Source organism: Homo sapiens, chromosome 1, assembly GCF_000001405.40.
Source record: "Homo sapiens chromosome 1, GRCh38.p14 Primary Assembly".
NCBI classification, from domain to species: Eukaryota; Metazoa; Chordata; class Mammalia; order Primates; family Hominidae; genus Homo; species Homo sapiens.
Genome location: NC_000001.11, coordinates 150,052,885 through 150,076,739, shown reverse-complemented (window position 1 = coordinate 150,076,739; position 23,855 = coordinate 150,052,885). Strand labels below are relative to the sequence as shown.

General features: G+C 38.7%; 2 protein-coding genes, 1 long non-coding RNA gene and 1 pseudogene across 11 annotated transcripts in view, besides 2 other annotated features; 1 reads left to right on the top strand and 3 right to left on the bottom strand.

Annotated features, from left to right (window-relative positions):
• VPS45 (vacuolar protein sorting 45 homolog) overlaps positions 1-9,358 on the bottom strand; it is a 77,948-nt gene extending 68,590 nt beyond the window's left edge. For 4 of the 7 annotated variants that reach the window (NR_103998.2, XR_007069452.1, XR_921734.4 and 1 more), the window contains exons 1-4: positions 8,790-8,964; positions 7,976-8,110; positions 4,514-4,574; positions 428-507 (exon numbers count right to left, since the gene is read on the bottom strand). Coding sequence is in view for 4 of the 7 variants with exons in the window: in NM_007259.5 (NP_009190.2) it covers positions 428-507; positions 4,514-4,574; positions 7,976-8,110; positions 8,790-8,882 (369 nt within the window). In the remaining 3 variants the exon portion in view is untranslated. Of the gene's footprint in view, positions 1-427; positions 508-4,513; positions 4,575-7,975; positions 8,131-8,789; positions 8,965-9,133 lie in introns of those variants that run through there. The other 3 variants (XM_024452791.2, NM_001279353.2, NM_001279354.2) reach the window with 2 other exon arrangements.
• Positions 9,008-9,337: an enhancer, noted in NCBI's record as "active region_1669". NCBI's record gives its function as "activates an Ori minimal core promoter by ATAC-STARR-seq in GM12878 lymphoblastoid cells {active_cell/tissue: GM12878}" and the evidence as "EXISTENCE:reporter gene assay evidence [ECO:0000049][PMID:35858748]".
• Positions 9,087-23,855, top strand: part of OTUD7B (OTU deubiquitinase 7B) — a 129,842-nt gene continuing 115,073 nt past the window's right edge. For 2 of the 3 annotated variants that reach the window (XM_047425721.1, XM_047425716.1), the window contains exon 1: positions 9,087-9,257. The gene's annotated coding sequence lies outside the window, so the exon portion shown is untranslated. Of the gene's footprint in view, positions 9,783-23,855 lie in introns of all 3 variants that reach the window. The other variant, XM_047425712.1, reaches the window with a different exon arrangement.
• Positions 9,548-9,787: a silencer, noted in NCBI's record as "silent region_1293". NCBI's record gives its function as "represses an Ori minimal core promoter by ATAC-STARR-seq in GM12878 lymphoblastoid cells {active_cell/tissue: GM12878}" and the evidence as "EXISTENCE:reporter gene assay evidence [ECO:0000049][PMID:35858748]".
• LOC124904413 (uncharacterized) overlaps positions 19,217-23,855 on the bottom strand; it is a 45,061-nt gene continuing 40,422 nt past the window's right edge. The window contains exon 3 of the long non-coding RNA XR_007066598.1: positions 19,217-19,281. This is a non-coding gene — a long non-coding RNA (uncharacterized LOC124904413). The remainder of the gene's footprint in view (positions 19,282-23,855) is intronic.
• RPL6P31 (ribosomal protein L6 pseudogene 31) lies at positions 21,700-22,895 on the bottom strand (annotated as a pseudogene).

Genomic DNA, 23,855 nt, shown 5'->3' with positions numbered 1-23,855 from the left:
AATTACAAAACAGTAGCAATAATAATAAATCTAACAAATAAAGGTTGTAAGGTTATACACATTATATTTCTGGAGACCTCTATGCATACTTATCAATTAGTAAAAATAAAATACTGCTAATAGGAGATACAATGTTCTACTCAGATAAAAAAGAACTTTGCTGTCCAATGTGTTGTCATGAGAGAGAATATAATTTAAAACAGGTATTCTTTTTATTCATTTATCACCTATCACATCCTTCTGAAAAATTCAAAACTAGTTTATTTGCTGCCTCTGAAAACAATATTCCTCATTTATGTGATAAACATATTCAAGTATTCATAATAAAACTTCTTTTGAGACAGACCTTTCCTTATTTTTTATTTTTAGACTCAAATATTTAAAAAGGGCCAACATACGAGATGTGTTACAGGACCAATATGTTTACCTGAACCTCAGCCACAACTTCCTGTTCATCAGCTTCAGCCAATGACTTCACGTCACTCTTGCTGATCACATTACTGAAATCTGAAACACATGAGTTGGGGTTGACTCAAAGGAGATAATTTCTGCTGCAATATATGTAAAAGGGCCTGATAGTTAAAGCCTAATGAATAAGTGACCTTCAAATTGGAATGGGTAGCAAAAATATATTTAATCCACAAATTCATAATTTTATATATATATATATATATATTTTAAAAGGACTGGCCAGGCGCGGTGGCTCACACCTGTAATCCCAGCACTTTGGGAGGCTGAGGCAGGTGGATCATGAGGTCAGGAGATCGAGACCATCCTGGCTAACACGGTGAAACCCCGTCTCTACTAAAAATACAAAAAAAAATTAGCTGGGCGTGGTGGCGGACGCCTGTAGTCCCAGCTACTCGGGAGGCTGAGACAGGAGAATGGCATGAACCCAGGAGGCAGAGCTTGCAGTGAGCCCAGATCAGGCCACTGCACTCCAGCCTGGGCGATAGAGGAAGACTCCATCGGAGGAATTGGAGAATGAGAATACTAGGGAAGTAAGTCATTTTATTGAAAATAAGGAGAAAGAAGTAAACTTTCATGCTGTCTTTTATATATAAACTGTACTACCAGGTAACCAAATAGATGAGGGAAAATTTTTCTTTGTGAAAACATTCCAGCTCAACAATAACTAACAAATGTTAATGACAGAATTAGAATATCATCATTTTTTCTAACCCCCAATGAATCAATTGAATGGACCCAGGCATTGAGCATCAGCAGCTACTAATATCAAAAGAATAAGCAGCCAATGAAAGCACACAATACCACCTATAAAGTATTCTTGCCAAGAAGAAATCAAATCTTAACCTAATTAAGGCTCTGTATTCACCTATGAATTTACAGGAACTAGAAGACAGAGGAATATTTTAAACTTCAAGGAACATGTTAAACTACCCCCTGGGGATGCAATCAGCAAGATCCAGTCTGTGGAAAACTTAACAGTTTCTTCAATAAATAAATTGCATGGGGCAGCAGGGGCAGGGGTGGGAGGACCTATACAGAAGATTAAGAAACTTAACATATCAACCAACAGCAATGTGTGAACCTTACTTTGATCCTGATTTTAAAAAACTGTAAAAAAAAAAAAAAAAAAAGACAATTTTAAATTTGAACGCTGAATGGTTATTTGAAAATGGTACTAAGAGTTCAAGACCAGCCTGGGCAACATCACTTGAACCTGGGAAGTTGAGGTTACAGTGAGCCGAGATCATGCCACTGCACTCTGTCTGGGTGACAGAGGGAGACTGTGTCTCAAAAAAAAAAAAAAAAAAAAAAAAGAATAAATAATTATTTTTCACTTTTAATCTAGATGTAATAATGGAAATGTGTTTTTTAAAAAAATGAGTCCTTATCTTTTAGAGATGCCTACTGAAATACTTATGGATAAAATTATATAATGTCTTAGATTTGCTTTAAAATAATATTGCTGGAGAAGTAGGTGACAGTATAGCTAAAACAAGATTGGGTGAGGCTCAATAATTGTTGAAACCAGCTGATAGGTACATTGGAACTTATGATACTATTCTACTTTTGTATGTCTTTAAAAGTTCGGTGCGGTGGCTCACACCTGTAATCCCATCACTTTGGGAGGCCAAGGTGGGCAGATCACACATGGAATTACCATATGACTCAGCAGTTGCACTCCTGGGGGTTATTTACCCCAGAGAATGAAGACTTAATGTTCACATAAAAATCTGTACACAGATATTTATAGCAGCTTTATTTGTAATAGCCAAAACTGGAAATAACTCATATGTCCTTCAATGGTGTATAGTTAAACAAACTGTGGTACATTCATACCATGGAATACTACTCAGCAATAAAAAGAAATGAACTATTTTTAAATTAAGAAAACTTTTTTTTTTGCAGTTCCAGCTCAAAGGAGGAATGAACTATTAATACACACAACAGGTGAGGTGTGGTGGCTCATGCCTGTAATCCCAGTACTTCGGGAGGCTGAAGCGGGCGTATCACCCAAGGTCAGGAGTTTGAGACCAGTCTGGACAACCAACACGGTGAAACCCTGTCTCTACTAAAAAAAAATACAAAAATTAGCTGGGCGTGGTGGTGTGTACCTGTAATCCTAGCTACTCGGGAGGCTGAGGTGGGAGAATCGCTTGAACCCGGGAGGTGGAGGTTGCAGTGAGTTGAGATGGCGACACTGCACTCCAGCCTGGGTGACAAAGCAAGACTGCTTCTCGGACAAAAAAAAAAAACAAAAACAACACACACACACACACAGAACAGCCTGGATGACTCTCCAGAGAATTATGCTGAGTGAAAAAAGCCAGTCCCAAAAGATTATATGCTGTATGATTTCATTTATAGAACATTCTTCGAATGACAAAATATAAAATGGAGAAAATATTAGTGGTTACCAGGGTTAATGAGGGGGTTGGGGTGGGACAGAAGTCCATATAAGCTAATAAAAGGGATCCTTATAGAGATGAAAATGTTGTGTATCCTGACTGTATCAGTGTTAACATCTTGGTTGTGATATTGTACTATCATCATGTAAGATACTACACAGGGGGAAGCTGGGTAAAGGGTATCTGGGATCTCTGTATTATTATTCGTTGTTTTTTTTTTAACTGCACATGAATCTACAATTACTTCAAAATAGAAAGTTTAATTTTAAAAAGAAAACCTGTGACTATTAGCCAAAAACAAACAGACAAAAACAAACAAAAATTAAGTTGCCACAGATTAATAAAATTGCCTATTTTTACCTCTTGGGGCGTCGTGCACTGAAAACCCACTGGACAAGCTTTATGTAACTTTTCAATTCTACACAGAACTGAATGAAATAAAATATGAGAGAGCTCTTATATATATATAGTCTTTTCGCAAATGTTAATTTTTTGTATCATTATTCTATTTAAGTAGTATACGCTGAAGAAAGTATGTACGTCTTAGACTGTAGTCTAAACCCTAAAACTCTAATACCTTTAAGTAAGCTTTAAAACTTCTCAAATGCCCTACTTACTGTTAAATCTAGTCCTTGGTTTTGGAAATGTTACCAAATAGACTACACTAACACTATTAACATAAAGATAAATAATGACATCTAGAGGAGAATAGATGTAACTTCTACAGCCGAATGTATTGGATCAAAAAAATCCATGTAAATTGTATAGTAAACACAAACCTAGTTTATTTCCAGATCTCCCCTACCTAACCCCCACTCCAAGAAAGTTGTGCACATAAGAGATCACTACCTGATGATTTATACTTTCAGTGCATTAAATATAGTAACAAAGAGAAGTGAAAGGCTTTTATCTGGTATGTAAAGTAAATTTCTGCTTTTCCAGCAAACTCAAGTATTACCTTCCCACTTCAAAAAATAAATCAGCTTCCATGCCTCAATTTTTAAGTGTAAAACAGGGATAAGTATATACTTTTTTTTTTTGGCAGGGGTGAGATGTGAAATTTGTCTACTTAAAACTTTTGACTTACAAAGCATCTTGAAAGGCAAAGTAAAATGTAAAATTTTTAATTTAAGCAATCAAAGATGAATGGAAATCACATTTAGCCCTCTGAAACAGAATATTGGTCAAAAGTATTTTTTTTTTTTTTGAGATGGAGTTTCGCTTTGTTGCCCAGGCTGGAGTGCAATGGCGCAATCTCGGCTCACTGCAATCTCCGCCTCTCCGGTTCAAGCGATTCTCCTGCCTCAGCCTCCCAAGTAGCTGGGATTACAGGCATGTGCCACCATGCCCAGCTAATCTTGTATTTTTAGTAGAGATGGGGTTTCACCATGTTGGTCAGGCTGGTCTCAAACTCCTCAGATGATCCGCCCGCCTTGGCCTCCCAAAGTGCTGGGATTACAGGTGTGAGCCACCGCGCCCGGCAGGTCAAAAGATTTTTAATACTTTGGAAGGACATTAAATAAACTAGACTTTTATAGTGACAGATTCAATGAAGTTATTGATGATATGAAGGGCTCAATGAAACACACTAACTGGGATGTTGTTACATGTTTGAAAAAGTGAACTAACATACTTACAAATGAAATATATAGTGTATTTGGGTCTTCGGAGCTCCTGAATAATATAATCCACATTCTCCTAGAAAATGAAGAACAAGCAAACAAAATATGAGGAGAGTTGCTTAAGGAAAAAAGTAATAAGCATTCACCCATTGATTTGTTTATTTACTGCGTCTACTGCATATTGAAGTCTAGGTTAAGTGTGCTTATGTTGGTGGGTAAGGGCTGGAGACAAAAGAGATAAATTAAATACAATGATCGGGAATCATATATTATTTAATAATATGTGTATAATATTAAATATTAACCAGCTGCATTTTGGCCAATTAAGATAAAGAATATAAAGGACACAGATGTTGAAACACAACATAAAATTGATTATAATTCTGCAAACTCACATCAAGCTGCTTGTCTATAAATTGTATTCATTTGCTCAAAATTCTTTTTTTTTTTTTTTGAGATTAAGTCTCACTCTGTTGCCCAGGCTGGAGTGCAATGGCACAATCTTGGCTCACTGTAACCTCCGTCTCCTGGGTTCAAGCAATTCTCCTGTCTCAGCCTCCCAAGTAGCTGAGATTACAGGTTTGTGCCACCATACCCAGCTAATTTTTTGTAATTGTAGCAGAGACGGGGTTTCACCATGTTGGCCAGGCTGGTCTCGAACTCCTGACCTCAACTGATCCACCTGGCTTGGCCTCCCAAAGTGTTAGGATTACAGGCATGAGCCACTGCGCCTGGCCTGATCAAAATTCCTATATAGAGCATTAAATGTGTCTATTCCTTTAAAAATTAACATGCAAGAGAAAATAAAGTTAATTATATTCACTTTGGCTTTTAACTTATTGGGATGTAAGACTCTGCACAACTACAATGTTTGTGAAGTATTTGCAAGTAGCAGGCTAAGATCTTTTCTACAATTACATTGTTTTAAAATAAAGTATGAAAGTTTAAAACAAAAAAGTTGATTTTTATATGGTCAAAATATAAGATTCCAATTACATAAGATTATAATGCAGGTTTTATTGGTTTTTGATACTATAACACCTGGTTAAATTTCAATATAAATTGTTCCCTAAACATATTAATTTGTTTTAAAAATCACATTTCTTTACAGAATTAAAAAAAAGTAAGCAATATATACTGCTTATTAATGGGGAAAGGGTTTTAAAAATTGTAATTTAGATTTAAAAATGCAATTTAGATTTCAAATTAACTTTATAATATAATCTTAAGGCAAAAAATTTAAATAATAAATCTTTTAAACCTCAATTACTTCCTCGTAATATGCTAGGCAAAAATAACAAAGTGAATTAAAAGATTCTTAAAAGTTCAGACAATGTGGAAAAAGACAAAAGAGAATATATAAAAGAGGAAAAAGAAAAAGGAAAGATTCTTTTTTAAAAATTATTTTTAATTTTTATTTTATTATTATTTTTTGAGACGGAGTCTTGCTCTGTCGCCAGGCTGGACTACAGTGGCGTGATCTCAGCTTACTGCAACCTCTGACTCCCTGGTTCAAGCGATTCTCCTGCCTCAGCCTCCCTAGTAGCTGGGACTACAGGCGCCTGCCACCATGCCTGGCTAATTTTTTTGTTGTTTTTTTTTTTTGTATTTTTAGTAGAGACGGGGTTTCACCATGTTGGCCAGGATGGTCTCGATCTCCTGACCTCGTGATCCGCCTGCCTTGGCCTCCCAAAGTGCTAGGATTACAGGCGTGAGCCACCGCGCCCGGCCAAAAGGAAAGATTCTTAAAAGAGTTCGAGAGACAGTACATAACAGTGAAAGAGTTTCTCTAATAAAAAACATTAGGAAATAATGAACTAGATGATCTCTAACATATCTCTTGAACCAAAATTTCATGACTAAGAGCTACAAACATGAAACAATTGGAAACTATTATAACACAGCATGTGTTCATTAATTCAGCAACTGTTTATTGAGTGTCCACTGTGTGACAGGAATTGGGAATATAGGGTGAGAAAAAACAGATATCATATCTGTTTTCATGGAGCTTACTGCTGGTAATCACATAAACCATATAAAAGTTCAAACCATTACACACAATAGGGAGATAAAGATGGTGTTGTAAATGCATATAAGGGGCAGGTTTGACCTGGTCAGCAAAAACAGTGAAGGGTTACTTGAAGAAGTTAAGTTCCAGGCAGAGGAAGAAGACTATGCAAACGTCCCGTGGCATGACGGGACAAGGGGAATATAGCGGATTGATATACATAGGGTGATTAAGATGCAGAGTGCAAAAGGGGGATGGTTCGAAATGAGGCTGGAGAAATGGTAGAAACCAGACCATGCTGCACCTTGAAGGCTACAATTAAGGAGTTTTGCCCTTATCAGAAAAGCAATGAGAAGTCATTCAAGGATTTCAAGCAGGAGTGTCATGATCAAATTTGCATTTTGGAAAGTTCATATGCACAAGCATGATAAAATGCATTAGAGTTGAAGAACATGAATATGAATCAAGAAAGTATAACAGCCGGGCACGGTGGCTCCCGCCTGTAATCCCAGCACTTTGGGAGGCCAAGGCGGGCGGATCATGAGGTCAGGAGATCAAGACCATCCTGGCTAACACAGTGAAACCCTGTCTCTACTAAAAATACAAAAAATTAGCCGGGCGTGGTGGCGGGCACCTGTAGTCCCAGCTACTCGGGAGGCTGAGGCAGGAGAATGGCGTGAACCCGGGAGGCGGAGCTTGCAGTGAGCCGAGATTGCGCCACTGCACTCCAGCCTGGGCGACAGAGCGAGACTCCATCTCAAAAAAAAAAAAAAAGTGTAACAAATAAGATTAAAATAGCAAAGGCTTTTTAAAGGAGAGACTCAAGCTAGATTTAGAAGATGATGGATAAAAAGTGACAAATGGCCAAAGAACTTTTAATCAGTGCAAGAAAAAAAAAACAAGGAACAGGAATGAGCATGTAGAATTGCTCATTCCAACAGTAGCCTAGCTGGCTATAGAGGAGAAGCAGACCTAGGACATAGGAAGGCTGGATACACATGGGCAGATCAAACCAACAAAGTAGGGCTTTAATGGCTGGGCTAAATATAGATTTAATCATGGAAGTAACATCAAGCCACCACAGGTTCCTGAGCATAAATGTGAATAAAGTGGCAAAGATTCAAGACACTCATAGCTGTATATAAAATTAAGTGTTGATGGTGTTCAATGTGACAGATACGGAGGTTAATCCAGGAATAAAGTAATGTGGGTCTCCGTTAAGAGTAGTTCATTAGTGGCAATGGGAATGGCTGTGAACCTAAAAAACATCTTGAAGGAAGAACTGGCTGTAAGGGGTCAACTGAAATATGGAAACAAAACAAGAAAAATGAAGGTTATAACACTGATGAACCAGGATAATTATGATGCCACAAATTATGATAATACAAATTTATTTTGCCTTCTTAATGCTTTCAGATCAGAGTGTTCTGCATCTGCCTGGGCAGATGGAAGCTCAGTTTATGCAGTACCTTTGTAGGTCGAAGAAAACAAATTGCCTTCAGGTGTTTCATGATCTCTCGATTTTGAGAATCAATGCGTTCAAAGAGGTACACTTCCTTCTGTAGAATCTCCGATTGTGTGTATACCATACTCACTATGCCAGTCTGTAAAAACAAAAGATTAACTAAAAGTATGCTAGTCTAGAATAATAAAAACAAGTAGCACATCTAACCCTCTTTTTTCATTAATACTTAGCTGGATAACTTAAATAGTAATATACGGAAAACATTTACTGAACATCCAAACAGGTAGGTAACATACGAGAATGAAAAATACGCTCTATCCTTTCAGCTGAAGCTTCAAGATTAAAAACAAAAAACATGGTCTCTTTGAACAGGAACAATCCATAAGTTTCCAAAAATATTTTTTTCTATCACCTTAAAGAGTTTTGTTTTCTGGTCTGTGGCCAACAAATAATCTGTCATTTCAGCTTGAGCTCCAACAGCTTTACTTTAAAAACACAATGTTGAGTGGAAACAGTAGGCCCATCCCAAAGCCTTCCAAGTGCTCTGACATATTAATGATTTCTTGGCGGGGACATTTAGAAAAGGATTTCTGATTCCAATAAATTGTTCCGGGTAGAAGTAGTCTCTAGGCAGTGGCTGGAGCCATGTAGACTGAAAACCCACCGGGCAAGCTTTATATAAACAACTTTTCAATTCCACACAAACCGACCCTCATTTTCGTATGTTTAATTAAATGCTAAGTCCTACAGTGGAATGGGACGAGCAATTGTAAGGTTGAGAGGGTTCCTTCACAAATGCTGAGCAAAAGCAAACTCACCGTCTCTTTATCCATGAGAAGTACTTTCATACCAGGCCCGCTGTCCTCTATCATTTTGGAAATGTACTGCTTCACAGCAAAAACCACGTTCATGGCGGCGAATTGACAAGTACCCTACAGCCCTTCCCGCCCCCTTTTCTGGCTAAATTAACCCCCAGTCTGTTGGCCGGGTCTCAGCTGCTTCCTCCCAGCCGGGATTCGGCTTCCGGGAGTCCGGGCAGCCACGGTGCTGGGAGTTGTAGTTCCGCTGGAGTGTACAGGGGACCAAGCCTACCCCGGGGATGGAAAAATCCGGCTGAGACGGCCTGGGCCGCTGCCACGCGCGGGCGTTATTCTCCACCCACCTGCGGCCTGAAGATGCCTGAGGCCCGGACTCTCAGACCCCTATTGCCCTTTGGTGCTGGAGGCCCAGCGGCAGCCTGAAGCCCAAGAGAGTGGAGCCTCGCGAAATGAGGAACCTGGCACAAGGTTTGCTTGGAAGCAGGAACGACGGAGTGTGGCTACGTGCCCTATTTGCCATTAACGCTTTCTTGCATGGCAGTGAGAGATGAGGGCAAGGGAGGTGGCATAATGCTCCCGGCCGCTTGGGACTCGGAGAGACGGCATTTAATAAATCACACGCGGTATTTGCGAAACAGTGGTCGAGATTCGTCTTCCCGGGTTCATTGCGTCATTAATAGGCGGGAACAGTGCCCCTGTGTTGAGGCTGCAGAGGCCCTAATTGGTTTTCCCAAGACAGAGGGGCATATGAGATTGAACAAATATTTGTTGAATGAATGAACAAAGGGAACGCCTTTTAGGGATGTTTCTGGGGGAAAGGCCTGAGGTTCTCCAGGAGGGTCTGCAGCTAGGGTCGGCCGTGGGGGCTCGCAGCCCGCGGGACCACCGGACCTGCAAGCGTCCCCCTGCCCCGCCCCCGCCTCGGCGCTCTGAGCAATTGGACTCTGCCAGCTCTAACTCCGGCGGGACTCTGAAACTCAGGCAAGAGCCGAGGTGACTGGGTCCTTTGAAATGGGTAGGGGACACGTATCCGGTAGAACTAAAACTAGCGTGGGGATTTGAAGCCAAAACTCTCAAGTTTTTACTGAATCTTAAAACCATCAACTTCCAAATGTCTGCATTTGTCTTTACACCACACAGGTCTCCCCTCTATCATGGCATTTGTCGAAAAGGAGGGTAGATGTTTGTTTTTCGCACCTTTACTTTGGGGAATTGTAAAATCAGGAAGATAATAAGAAACAATTGTTAGAAATCAGTAACTAAAAATGCTTATGAATATTTCCACCAAAATAATGACCAGTGTTTGTGAGGTCAATAGATTCAGGATTACCAAATAAATTCTTTCATTATATTTTAAGAAGTACACAGTTAAAATAGACCAATAGCACTTTAACATTAATCAGCTTAAGATTATGCAATATTATATATAATTCTCAAATCCCTTAAGGGAGATCAGAAACTACTGAAATATAAGAGATTTTTGTCACCTCTGAAATTGTGAAGAATATGTTTTTTTTCTTTCAGCTTTTCTACCAAGTAAATAAAGCTTCCCTTTAGGCATTTTACTAATTTTTAGATGTGTTTTGAAAGAAAAGTCTTAAGTTATATATTAAAGTGAAAATGTGAATCTTTAAATGGATACAAGAAATGTTATATGAACATTCCATTCTTATCAATTTAAATGTTCGTATCTTACAGAAAACATGGAAACAACGCTAATGAAAATCCTGTAAATCCTGTAAATTACTGATATTTGAAAATTCACTGCCAATCTCCTATGTCACTTGGTTTTTATTTTTCTTACCTATAATTTAGATTGCAGTATAGAAGATTTTTCCCCATTTTCTGTGCTTTTTTAAGAAAGAAGGAGATAAAGACTTGTCTATGAAATTCGTGCCTTTTTAAACAATAGTCAGTCTGTAAGCAATAGATGGAAAGAATCTTTATCCTTTTGATGATTTATACTTGGGCACATAACTTTTTGAGGGACGAGGAAAATACCTACTTGACACTTACTAACTCATTCCATTTCACATAAAATTTCATTGATGTCAGTGGCAGTGATATTTTATACATTGAGCGATAAGATATGGAACATAAACATTTTGAACAAAATAATTATTACATATTTAAAGGGTGCTGTGATGGTCCTGAAGTTAGACAGCATCCTTCCTTCCTGAAGAAAACCACACAAGCCATTTTAAATGTCTCCAAATTAAGAACTTCTTTTGTATCCCCATACCTCTAAAAATAGAACTGAAACCAATGATAAAATCCAAGCTCTTGCTTTGTGACTCATCCAGGATAAACCCAGTTACTTGTTTTGTTGCAGGCAAGTGACAGCAAATCCAGAATATGAAGTGCCTACTTATTTTTAATTTAGGGTATAAGTAAACTATAATAACAAGAAATATTTTCAATAGTAAAGACATTAAATTTAAAAAATAAATCATGACATCCTTCAAATATGAATGACTACATTAACTTAAAATCTTCAACTTGAAAAATTTGTTTTCACTGGGTCCAAGAAATCAGTGCTTTAAGGATAGAAAACAGGAAGTCAAAAAATGCAGTATTGGTCAGGCACGTGGCTTACTCCTGTAATCCCAACACTTTGGAAGGCCAAGGCGAGGCCAATCGTTTGAGTCCAGAAGTTCAAGACCAGCTTAGACAATATGATGAAACTCTGTCTGTACAAAAAAATACAAAAAATTAGTTGGGCATGGTGGCCAGCGCCTCCAGTCCCAGCTACTTGGGAGGCTGAGATGGGAGGATCACCTGAGCCCAGGAGGTTGAGGTTACAGTGTGCCACTGCACTGCAGCCTGGGTGACAGAGTGAGACCTGTCTCCAAAAAAAAAAGCACTATTTACATTTGTACATTTTATTTAGGCTTGTAAATATGTAAGTTAAATAATCAGGAATGATTATCTAAATAATTAAATGTACTTCAGCTTTCTCCATGTATACTATTTAGAGGTTTAACTGCCCATTTTGTGTTTAATCAAAATCATGATTTTCCCCCACCAGAGCTCAAGGCTTCAACACAAAACAAAGAATATGTAAATAAGCTTCAGCATAATTATAATAACAATATGGCCAACTCAGTTATTTTAGATTATTAATTCTCTATTTACTATAATCCTTGTTGCTTCATGTTAACACTTCTCTCATAAGCCATGGATAGGAAGGAAGTAAAGATGAAATTCAATGAAACTGAAGTTAATTAGATTTCCTACTTGATAACAATTGAAAAAAATATTTGCATAAAGAATGGCAGTATTGGCCAGGCACAGTGGTTCATGCCTGTAATCCTAGCACTTTGGGAGGCTAAGTCAGGAGGATTGCTTGAGCCCAGGAATTTGAGACCAACCTGGGCAACATAGCTAAACCTTGTCTCTACACAAAATTTAAAAATTAGCTAGGTGTAGCGGGTACATCTGTGGTCCCAGCTACTTGAGAAGCGTGCGGTAGGATTGCTTGAGCCCTGGAAATCGAGGCTGCAGTGAGCCATGTTCATGCCACTGCACTCCAGGCAACAGAGTGAGACTCTGCCAGAAAGAAAAGAAAAGAAAAAAGAGAAGAGAAGAGAAGAGAGAAAAGAAGAAAGAAAGAGAAAGAAAGAAAGGATTACTTGTGTCATACAACTAGTATTTGTGCAGTGTTCTTAATTTCTCTAACCATTTCTTCATCAGATAAATGGTAATAACGTAACCTACCTCATGAATTTGTGAGAATTAAATGAAATAATGTGCAAAAAAGTATTTTACACAGTGCCTGGTGCATAGTAAATGCTCAATAAATATCAGCTTCGATTATTAGAAATCAAAAGGTAAACATGTTTTAGCTTATTTTTCACTTATGGTTATATGTATTTCCCATTGACAAGAAAATTTAAACATAGAATCAATTTCAGAAAATGTCATCCATAGCTTCTAAATATAATTTCCATTAAGACTTGATCTTGTATTACTATACAATAATAGAAATACTAATGGGAAGATTTGACCTGCTCCATCATAATTTGTAAAACATGCAATTTTTATGAAGAAAAAACTTAGGAAAAATATGCTTCAAGTGATTTCAGAGGCTTAGTGTCTACGCAGCCTCAAATCAAACAGAATTTGTTAAATTTTCATCACAGTTCACCAACTGTGATGTGCTGAGCTTTATGGTAGCAAAAGCATTTAATAGCTTTAAATCATTGAGTAAAAATTATCTGCATGAAGAGTTCTGTCTGCACATTCAATAATTTCAGTGATTCCACCTTTCTGAGTAGGTAAATTGATAATAGCCACAGTGAGAATATTATAGCTGAGTTGGCTTGTAGCATGACTACCAACCAGCTATCAAATCCTGTGCAGACTCCTTTAAAATAACGATCCTGAATTCATACTTTTTATTACAAATAAGTTCACCATTTGTAGCATTTTGAGATGGCCAAAGAAACTGGATTTCTGTATTGCAACCACTCCACAGCAAGAAACATTTCTTTTTTTTTCTTTGAGACGGTCTTGCTCTGTCACCCAGGCTGGAGTGCAGTGGTGCCATCTTGGTTCACTGCAACCTCTGCCTCTGGGTTCTAGTGATTATCATGCCTCAGCCTCCTCAATAACTGGCACTACAGGTGCCCGCCACCAAACTGGCTAATTTTTGTATTTTTAGTACAGGCAGGGTTTCACCATGTTGGCCAGGCTGGTCTCGAACTCCTGGCCTCAAGTGATCTGCCTGCCTTGGCCTCCCAAAGTGCTGGGATTATAGGCATGAGCCACCATGCCTAGCCTAGAACCATTTCTATCTGCAGAAACTACAGGTAATATACTCAGAGACCTGAGTAACTGAAAATTTAGTTAAATAAGATCTTTGCATTCCCAAGGATGAAATGATCTAGTCTGAGTGAAATTTTTGGTGATTTGAGCTTGTTATAAGTATAAGTCAGGGCCAGCCTTGGTGGGTCACGCCTGTAATCCCAGCACTTTGGGAGGCGGAGATGGGTGGATCACTTGAGGTCAGGAGTTTGAGACCAGCCTGATCAACATGGTGAAACTCTGATTCTACTAAAAATACACAATTAGCCGGGCGTGGTGGTGCATGCCTGTAATCCCAGGTACTCAGGAGGCTGAGGCAGGAGAATCGCTTAAACCCGGGAGGTGGAGGTTGCAGTGAGCCGAGATCGCGCGCCATTGCAGTCCAGCCTGGGCAACAAGAGTGAAACTCCGTCTCAAAAAAAAAAAAAAAAAAAAAGAAAGAAGAAGAAAAAGAAAACAAATGTATGTCAGGTTTCCCCCTTCACTTTTTAATCAGTTCTAGACCATTTTATAGATTAGCAGCTTTCAAAATGTAGACTGTGCACTATGGTAGTTTTGTAAGTTGCTCTGATATATAAAATAGAATGTGCTTTTGTTTAAGAGAGATTCCTAGCTAACACAGGTAGAAAAGAACAGTTGCTCAGAGTAAGACATAATTTCTTGGCAAAAGATTAGAAAAGGGAATTCGCTGAAAATGAAATAAATGACTAGTAAACATTCGAAGAGATGCTCAATGGTAATCTAAAAAATGCAAATTAAAGTCACAATGGAATTACCATTTCATATCCAAAAATTAAAATGTCTGATAATACCAAGTGTTGGTGAAAATGTAGAACAACACTTCATATATTGCCAGCAGAAGTGTAAAAATTGGTATAACATTTTGGAGAGCAATGTGGACATTAAAAAGCTAAAGATATACTGTACATACTCTTGTACTCAAAAATTCGTCCCCTTGGTATATTTCCCTCTTCCTTCCATGGAAACTCCCAAGGAAGCTTCCTTTCTTTGTTCCGTGAAAGGGCCATATGTGCAAAGTGGCCCCCAAATGCTGAAGGAGCTGAGAAGGCAAAGAAGGAGGCAGACAAATCCAGTTTGTCAGTTTTGAGTGATTTATTAGGGGAATGTACAGACAGAAATATGGTTCTGGGCAGCTGCATGACAGGTAGATCTCTGCATCGAAACCTTCCAGACCCAGGGCTTATATCTTAGGGAAAGTATATGTGATCTGGAAGGAGTATGTAGGTGGCTGTGGGCATCACAGCCTATGATTTCTGCAATTGCATCAAGTGTGGTTTAGGAGGAAACTTACAGTGAATAGAAGTTCTTACATAAAGACTAATACATCATTTAGACATTCTGGAGGCATTCCCAGACTCGGGGTTAGTCAGAAGTTACGTGGCAGATTAGCATTTAAAATAAAGTCACTCTTGTCCCCACACTTGTTATTAGGCTAGGAGTAGCCAAGCAGGTCTTGGGGCAGCCAGAGCCCCTGGGCAGGTCACTGCTGGCTATGAACAGCCTCCTTTTTTTTACCTATATGCTTTTCCAAGATTTCCTATGTGCGGTCATGAAAGGAATTGGAAATCGTTGCCCTAGAGAACTCTCACATGTATGTGAGACACGTATGAGAATGTTCTTAACAGTATTGCTGATAATAGCAAAAAAGTTGAAAACAACCTAAATGTCCGTCAACAGAAGAATAAATAAATAAATCATGGTATGATTTTATAACAAAATACTATATTCATATTTAGCAGTTAAGACAAATAAACCAGAGTTAAGGGCATCCATATGGTTGACTCTCAAAAAGATGGTAGGGGTATAGAAACAACATACATAGTCCTTGTAGAGTATGATATTATTTATATAACATTTGAAAACATGCAAAAAATAATAGTATATTGTTTAGGGCTACAAACCTATAGATAGGTGTATGAAGAAATGCTACATGTGGCTGGGCACAGTGGCTTACGCCTATAATCCCAGCATTTGCGGGCCAAGGCAAGAGGATTGTTGGAGGCCAGAAGTTTGAGACCAGCCAGGACAACACAAGGAGACACCATCTCTACAAATTAAACAAAAAAAATTTTTTTTGTTTTTTGTTTTTTGTTTTAGTCAGCCGGGTGCGATGAGCTTGAGGCTGCAGTGAGCCATGAACGTTCCACTGCAGTCCAGCCTGGGGGACAGCAAGACCCGGTCTCAGAAAAAAAAGAAAAGAAAAGAAAAGAGAAAAAATAAATCCTACACGAGAATGATAACCAAATTCAATTAGTGGTTATTTCTAGCATGGGAGCAAGTGGGATGCCACTGGGAACCAGAGCATAGGTGCTTCAACTATAATGCTGATGCTTCATTTCTTAAGATGGGTAGAGGGTATGTGGATATTCCTCATATTTAATAATAGCTTTTTGCCTGTCTTACTGCATAATAAATATTTAATCTGACTTTACTGGTGGAAAGTCAACCTTCAGCCTCAGCTTTGGGCAGAATTAATTGCTGGATAAACTGTAACCTTCGTTCCTTCAGTAAATACCTATTGCATATCTTGTATGTCAGATGCTATGTAAGTTTGAGAGGGCTGCAATAACGAAGTACCCCCAGACTCAGTAGCTTAAACAATAGAAACGTATTTCCTCAATAGTTCTGGTGGCTAGATGTCTAAGGTCAAGTGTCAAAGGTTGGTTTCTTCTGAGGCCTCTCATAGATGGCTGTCTTCTCCTGTGTCTTCACATGGTCTCTATGTGGTGTCTGTGTCCTAATCTCCTAATCTCTTCTCATAAGGACACCAATCATATTAGGGCCCACCCTAATGACCTCGTTTAACCTTAATTACCTCTTTAAAGACCCTTTCTCCAAATGCAATCCCATACAGAGATACTGAAGGTCAGGACTTCAACACAGGAATTTTGCAGGGACACAGTTCATCACCTAACAGATGCTAACTGGTGAATAAATCCTTCAGCCCTAGATGTCACCTAATAGCCTGAAAATATGTGAGATGAGGCATTGAAATCTCACTGAAGGAGTCACGCTGATATTACTTGTATTTTCTCTTTTATATGCCAATATTAAATAGGAACATATGGCCCTACTTCTATCCTGGATTTTTTTTCTCTTTTAAACTATCTTCTATTTCATGAAATGGTTGAGATGACTAAAAATATTCTAAATCAAAAGACTGCTGGTTTTTTTTGTTTGTTTGCAATGGCAAACAGATGTAATGGATCATGTAATTCATATTGGTCTGAACCCTTCCAACTTTTAGCTGAATATTTTGTATTTACATTGTTATTAAGTTTTATGTTTATGTTTTAAAATAATTTTAAAATAATTTTTCTTTCTTTTTTTCCCTCTCTTTGAAGAGCAAGGCTGCTCCATAGGCAGTGTGCCCAGAGTAGCCGAGTTTTATGTTTATTTTAATGAACATATTAGTAAATGTTAATCTTCCCTACCTAGACTGGGCATTAAAGAAAGAATATGATGGTGGCTCGTGCCTGTAATCCCAGCACTTTAGGAGGCTGAGGCGGGCAGATCATCTGAGGTTGGGAGTTTAAGACCGAGCCTGACCAACATGGAAAAACCCCGTCTCTACTAAAAATACAAAATTAGCCGGGTGTGATGGCGCATGCCTGTAATCCCAGCTACTCGGGAGGCTGAGGCAGGAGAATCGATTGAACCTGGGAGGAGGAGGAGGCGGTGAGCCGAGATTGCGCCATTGCACTCCAGCCTGGGCAACAAGAGTGAAACTCTGTCTCAAAAAAAAAAAAGAAAGAATATGAAAAGTGGCCAGGTGCGGTGGCTCATGTCTGTAATCCCAGCATTTTGGGAGGCGGGGGGGGGGGGGGTGGATCACGAGGTCAGGAGTTCAAGACCAGCCTGGCCAAGATGGTGAAACCCTGTCTCTAGTAAAAACTACAAAAATTAGCCAGGTGTGGTGGCAGGCACCTGTAATCCCAGCTACTCAGGAGGCTGAGGCAGAAGAATCGCTTGAACCTGGGCGGCAGAGGTTGCAGTGAGCCGAGATCACACCACTGCACTCCAGCCTGGCCAAGAGAGTAAGACTCCGTCACAAAAAAAAAAAAAAAAAAGAAAAGAAAGTAAGAAAGTATATATTTGCATTCAGTACCTTAATTTGTCAGTATTCTTTAAAAATGTCTAATACATAATATATTTACTTTAAAACACAGATTTGGTATATTTTGTAAGAAAATTATAAAATAAGAAATTTATTGTAAAAGAAATATTTTTTCCTAACTAGTCTCTGACAGATAAGCATAAAGAATACCTAAAATACCTTTTATACTGGATGTTTTATTGTGCTTTTCTCTTCTAAAGTGAGATTGAAAGGCTGTCTAATGAAATACCAAGCTACTTAAACCACCAATTTGGAGATTAATGTGGTATGACATATCTTATTGTTTATTTCCTTAAAACTCAATGTGTTTGGGAAATGTTGATCAAACTTTAATGTGCATGTACAAATCTCCTGGGGATTCATCAAGTGTGGATCTTGCTAAAATGAAGATTTTTTAGTCAATGGATCTGGGATGAGGTCTTATTACATCATGTATTTTTATTTATTTAATTTATTTACTTATTTTTATTTTTCAAGACAGGGTCACCCAGTCTCAAAAAATAAACAGCCTGTCACCCAGGCTGGAGTGCAGTGCTACAATCATAACTCGGCTTACTGCAACCTCAAACTCCTGGTCTCAGGTGACCCTCCTCCCTCAGCCTCCTGAGTAGCTGGGAGTACAGGGATGTGCTACCATGCCCATTAATTTATTTGTATTTTTTTGTAGAGACAGGATTTTTCCATGTTGCCCAGGCTGATCTCGAACTCCTGGACTCAAGTGATTGGCCCCGCCTTGGTCTCCCAAAGTGCTGGGATTAAAGGCACCAGCCTATATCCTTTGTTTTTAACTAGCTCCAGATGATGTTGGTGCTGGCGTTCCATGGACCACATTTTGAGTAGCAAAGCAGTAGAGGGTCAAGATTATTGGGGGCTGAGCGAATACAAGGAGATTGAGTAGTTTTTGTTCTCTTTCCGTTGAGCTTTAATACTATTCTTTACCCCTAAATCTTCTGTCCCACAATCCTTCATCCAATTCTATTAGTATTTGCCCCTTAAAATGGGCTCATAATTATGCTCCAAGGGCATTTGGGCAGTGCTTTCACTTGTCATACTTTTCTGCTTTAGGCTTGGTTCAGACCTTTTGAGTTAAGCTGTGATGTTAGCTAGCTATACATTTCTGTTTATTCATACTTATTGCCTTAGCACAGTCATATCTCTACATTCTTAGAGTAAGGATTACTGAGTCTACATGTTTAAAACATTATGATAATGAAAAGTACTTTATTGGACAAATCCTAACAGAATGCTGTTTCACTGTATATAATGTTTTAGAGTATCAAGACACAGAACCTCAGAATCATGGGCAATAATTTTATTTCATGATTAAAAACTAATGAACACCTCTAAGAGAAAAGACTGAATCCTTTCATTTTAAAATAGTTGTTCTTACTACTTACAAATACAAGATTATTGTGTATCGTCATCATCCAATCTCCTTACAGAAGCATGTAGTATATGGAGAAGACAGTTGACCCATGGAGAACTATTCTTAGCTCCTCTGCCAGTGACACTAGTCAACTCATGGGAGAACTTACCAATTTGGCCTCTCTGAGAATAAAGAGGAAGATAAATTAATAAGGTTTGGATTATAGATTTTAAGAAAATTGTTACTTTTTCAACTTCTTATTTTGAAATTTAAAACTTACAGAAAAGTTGCAAAAATAGAGAGTTCCCTTATACTCTTTACCAAACTTCCTTCAATATTAACTTCTTACATAACCATAGTACAAAGACCAAAACTGGGAAATTATCATTGGTAAAATACTATTAACTAAATTACTCTTTCTAAGCACACTGGTCAGTTGTTTCGTAGAATATCCGTCAATATGGGTTTATCTAATGTTTTCTCATTATTAGATTGAGATTGTGCATTTTTGGCAGAAATATCAAAAAAGTGATGTAGCCTTCTCAATATCATGGCATACATAATGTTGATATATCTTATCATTGGTGATATTAACTTTGATCACTTGGTTTACCTGGTGTCTGCAGGCTTTCTCCACTGTAAAATTACTATTTTTCTCCTTGTAATTAACATATGTCATATGGAGAGATGTGTTGAAGCTATGAAAATATTCTGTTTCTCATCATACTTTCACCTCCTAATTTTAGCTGTAATCCATTGATGGTTCTTGCCTGCAACAATTGGTGTTTATCTAATGGTGATTATTTTCTTCATTCCTTGTGTATGTATTGGAATTTTCTGTAAAGAAGACCTGTCCTGTCTTCCCCCATTTATTTATTTATTCAGTCATTTATTTGTGTCAGTTATAGACTCATGGATATTTAAGAAAATTGTTCTTTTTAGGTATTAGGAAAAATATAATATAGAGGTTAAGAGTGTAGGCTCTGGAATCAGTGAGCCTGGATTTGATTCTGTGTGTACTAGCTGCATAACTTGGCAAGTTATGTAACTTCTCTGTGTCACAGTTTCCTCATTTGTAAATGGAGAAAATAACGCCTACCTCAGATTGATGTGAGAATTGAGATAATACAAGTAGTCTTTAGCCTAGCTATAATTAATTTTTCATAACAAGTATTTTATACTGTGCTTAGTTTTACTGTTTATAAGTTTCCTCATCAACAAATGGAATATAAAAATATTTATCATGTGCTTGCCTCCTCCCAGAATTATTGCAATTCATGAGATGAATTTTAGAATAACTTATAATGTTAAGGAGATACAGAATAAGTTTTATTCCTTAAAAAAGATCAAACTAGATTAATTGCTAAGATCCCTTTTATTATCATTATTCTGTTTTGGGGCTGCTCTTGGTGTTAGATATGTAGATGACCATAAATGTGACTGAATTATTTTTAACATCTTAGATGATGTTTTAAGAGAACAGGCAAGCCATATGAAGTAAGTACTAGAAAATTCATATTCCTGTAACTCCTTAAATTTCATTGGTGGTAAAGGAGTCTTGAGTATAATAGTTTTTTCTTATTTATTTATTTATTTAAACTTTTATTTTAGGTTCGGGGGTACATGTGCAGGTTTGTTATATAGATAAACCCATGTCACAGGGGTTTGTTGTACAGATTATTTAGCCACCTGGGTACTAAACCTAGTACCCAATAGTTACTTTTCCTGCTCCTCTCCCTTCTCCCACCCTCCACCCTCAAGTGGGCCCCAGTGTCTGTTGTTTCCTTCTTTGTGTTCATTAGTTCTCATCATTTAGCTTCTGCTTATAAGTGAGAACATGCAGTATTTGGCTTTCTGTTCCTGCATTAGTTTGCTAAGGATAATAGCCTCCAGCTCCATCCATGTACCTGCAAAAGACATGATCTTGTTCTTTTTTATGGCTGCATAGTATTCCATGGTGTATACGTACATTTTCTTTATCCAATCTGTCATTGATGGGCATTTAGTTTGATTCCATGTCTTTGCTATTGTGCGCAGTGCTGCAATGAACATTCGTGTGCATGTGTCTTTAGGGTAGAATTCCTCTGGGTATATACCCAATAATGGGATTGCTGGGTCGAATGGTAGTTCTGCTTTTAGCTCTATGAGGAATCACCATACTGCTTTCCACAATGGTTGAACTAATTTACACTCCACCAACAGTGCAGAAGTGTTCCCTTTTCTCTGCAATCTCATCAGCATCTGTTATTTTTTTTTGTTATCAGTTATTTAATTAGATTCTTCTTAAGAAATTTAGAACACCAGGCCGGGCGCAGTGGCTCACGCCTGTAATCCCAGCACTTTGGGAGACCCAGGCGGGTGGATCACGAGGTCAGGAGATCGAGACTATCTTGACTAACACGGTGAAACCCCGTCTCTACTAAAAAATACAAAAAATTAGCCGGGCGTGGTGGTGGGCGCCTGTAGTCCCAGCTACTCGGAAGACTGAGGCAGGAGAATGGCGTGAACCTGAGGGGCGGAGCTTGCAGTGAGCCGAGATCAGGCCACTGCACCCCAGCCTGGGTGACAGAGCAAGACTCCGTCTCAAAAAAAAAAAAAAGGAAATTTAGAACACCAATTTGTAAGGATAAATTCCATTTGTCGGGGCAAACACAGATCAGAGGTAGCCCTGGAGCTGAGGAATAGCTTTGATTTTGGTTAAAATCTGTGAGTCCACAGCTTTTTGATCAATCTTGTGCTGCTCTGTAATCTCGTATTTCTCTTTCTATATGGAACATGTCACGTTCCTGGTGTCTGGGCTTCTGCAGCGTCTTTTTTTTTTTTTTTTTTTTTGAGACTGAGTTTCCCTCTTGTCACCCAGGCTGAAGCGCAGTGGCACGCTCTGGGCTCACTGCAACCTCTGCCTCCTGAGTTCAAGAGATTCTCCTGCCTCAGCCTCCCAAGTAGCTGGGATTACAGGCCCATGCCACCACACCCGGCTAATTTTTGTATTTTTAGTAGAGACAGGATTTCACCATGTTGGCCGTGCTGGTCTTGAACTCCTGACCTCAAGTGATTTGCCTGCTTTGGCCTCCCAAAGTGCTGGGATTACAGACATGAGTCACCATGCCCTGCCTGCAGCTTCTTCTTGAAGTAAGTATCAGTAAGATGTTTTGGGATTTTTACATTGCTGATATCAATTTTGGCTGAGGTGGCAATGACAGATTTCTGGTGTGTTCTTTGTAGAGGAACTTGATTGAGGACCAGAGGTCCAGTCACAAGTAACCAGCCACTAGCCAGCTGCTTCAGGAAAATCACCCTCTTGCCCCTGTGGCTTTCAGTGAGGATGATCAGAATGGTCTTGGGAGTGATCCTGGCTCACAGTTTTCTCATGTGCTGACTGAAGGGTTTTTTTCCTTGGCTCAACAGCTTTGAAAGCACATCTTCAGTAAGATAATATGTAGGCATTTTGCAAAGTTTAACCACCTGCGTACCACCGTTCTTGCCACCACCAGCTGGTTTTGTAATAGTTGCAGGAAACTTCTCCTTTTGCTTTTCAACCTTGGATTTCACAGCTGAGTACTTCCTCTTGCACGTGGCCTTTCTGGAATACATAGCAGATGGAGAATATCTGCCAATCCCTCTGACAATGACAGGATTTTGACTGCAATGGGGCTTCCTGTTCTTGGGCTTCTTAGCCTTGAGGTTACCCTTTTTCACCTTGCCACCAGCATCAGCCTTCTTGACTTCAGGTTTCTTCTCTTTAGTATCTGGCTTCTCAACTTGTTCACCCTCCATCTTGTAAGATGGAAAAGAGCTGACTTTTTAATAATGGCCATTCTGACTGGTGTGAGATGGTATCTCATTGTGGTTTTGATTTGCATTTCTCTAATGATCGGTGATATTGAGCTTTTTTTCATATGTCCGTTGGCTGCATATATGCCTTCTTTTGGAAAGTGTCTGTTCAGCCGTGCGTGGTGGCTCATGCCTGTAATCCAAGCACTTTGGGAGGCTGAGGTGGGTGAATCACTTGAGGTCGGGAGTTCGAGACCAGCCTGACCAACATGGAGAAACCTCGTCTCTACTAAAAATGCAAAATTAGCCAGGCATGGTGGCACATGCCTGTAATCTCGGCTACTTGGGAGGCTGAGACAGGAGAATCGATTGAACCCAAGAGGCAGAAGTTGCGGTGAGCCGAGAGTGTGCCACTGCACTACAGCCTGGGTGACAAGAGGGAAACTCAGTCTCAAAAAAAAAAAAGAAAAAAAAAGGGAAAGAAAAGTGTTCATGTCCTTTGCCCACTTTTTAATGGGGTAGTTGTTTTTCTCTTGTAAATTCGTTTAAGTTCCTTATAGATGCTGGATATTAGACCTTTGTCAGATGCATAGTTTGAAAATATTTTCTCCCATTCTGTAGATTGTCTGTTTACTCTGTTGATAGTTTATTTTGCTGTGCAAAAACTCTTAAGTTTAATTAGATCCCATTTGTCAATTTTTTGCGATTGCTTTTAGCATCTTTGTCATGAAATCTTCACCTGTTCCTAAGTCCAGGATAGTATTGCCTAGGTTGTCTTCCAGGGTTTTTATAGTTTTGGGTTTTATATTTAAGTATTTATTCCATCTTGAGTTGATTTTTGTATATGGTGTAAAGAAGGAGTCCAGTTTCAATCTTCTGCATATGGTTAGCCAGTTATCCCAGCACCATGTATTGACTAGGGAGTCTTTTCTCTATTGCTTGTTTTTGTCAGCTTTGTTGAAGTTCAGATGGTCATAGGTGT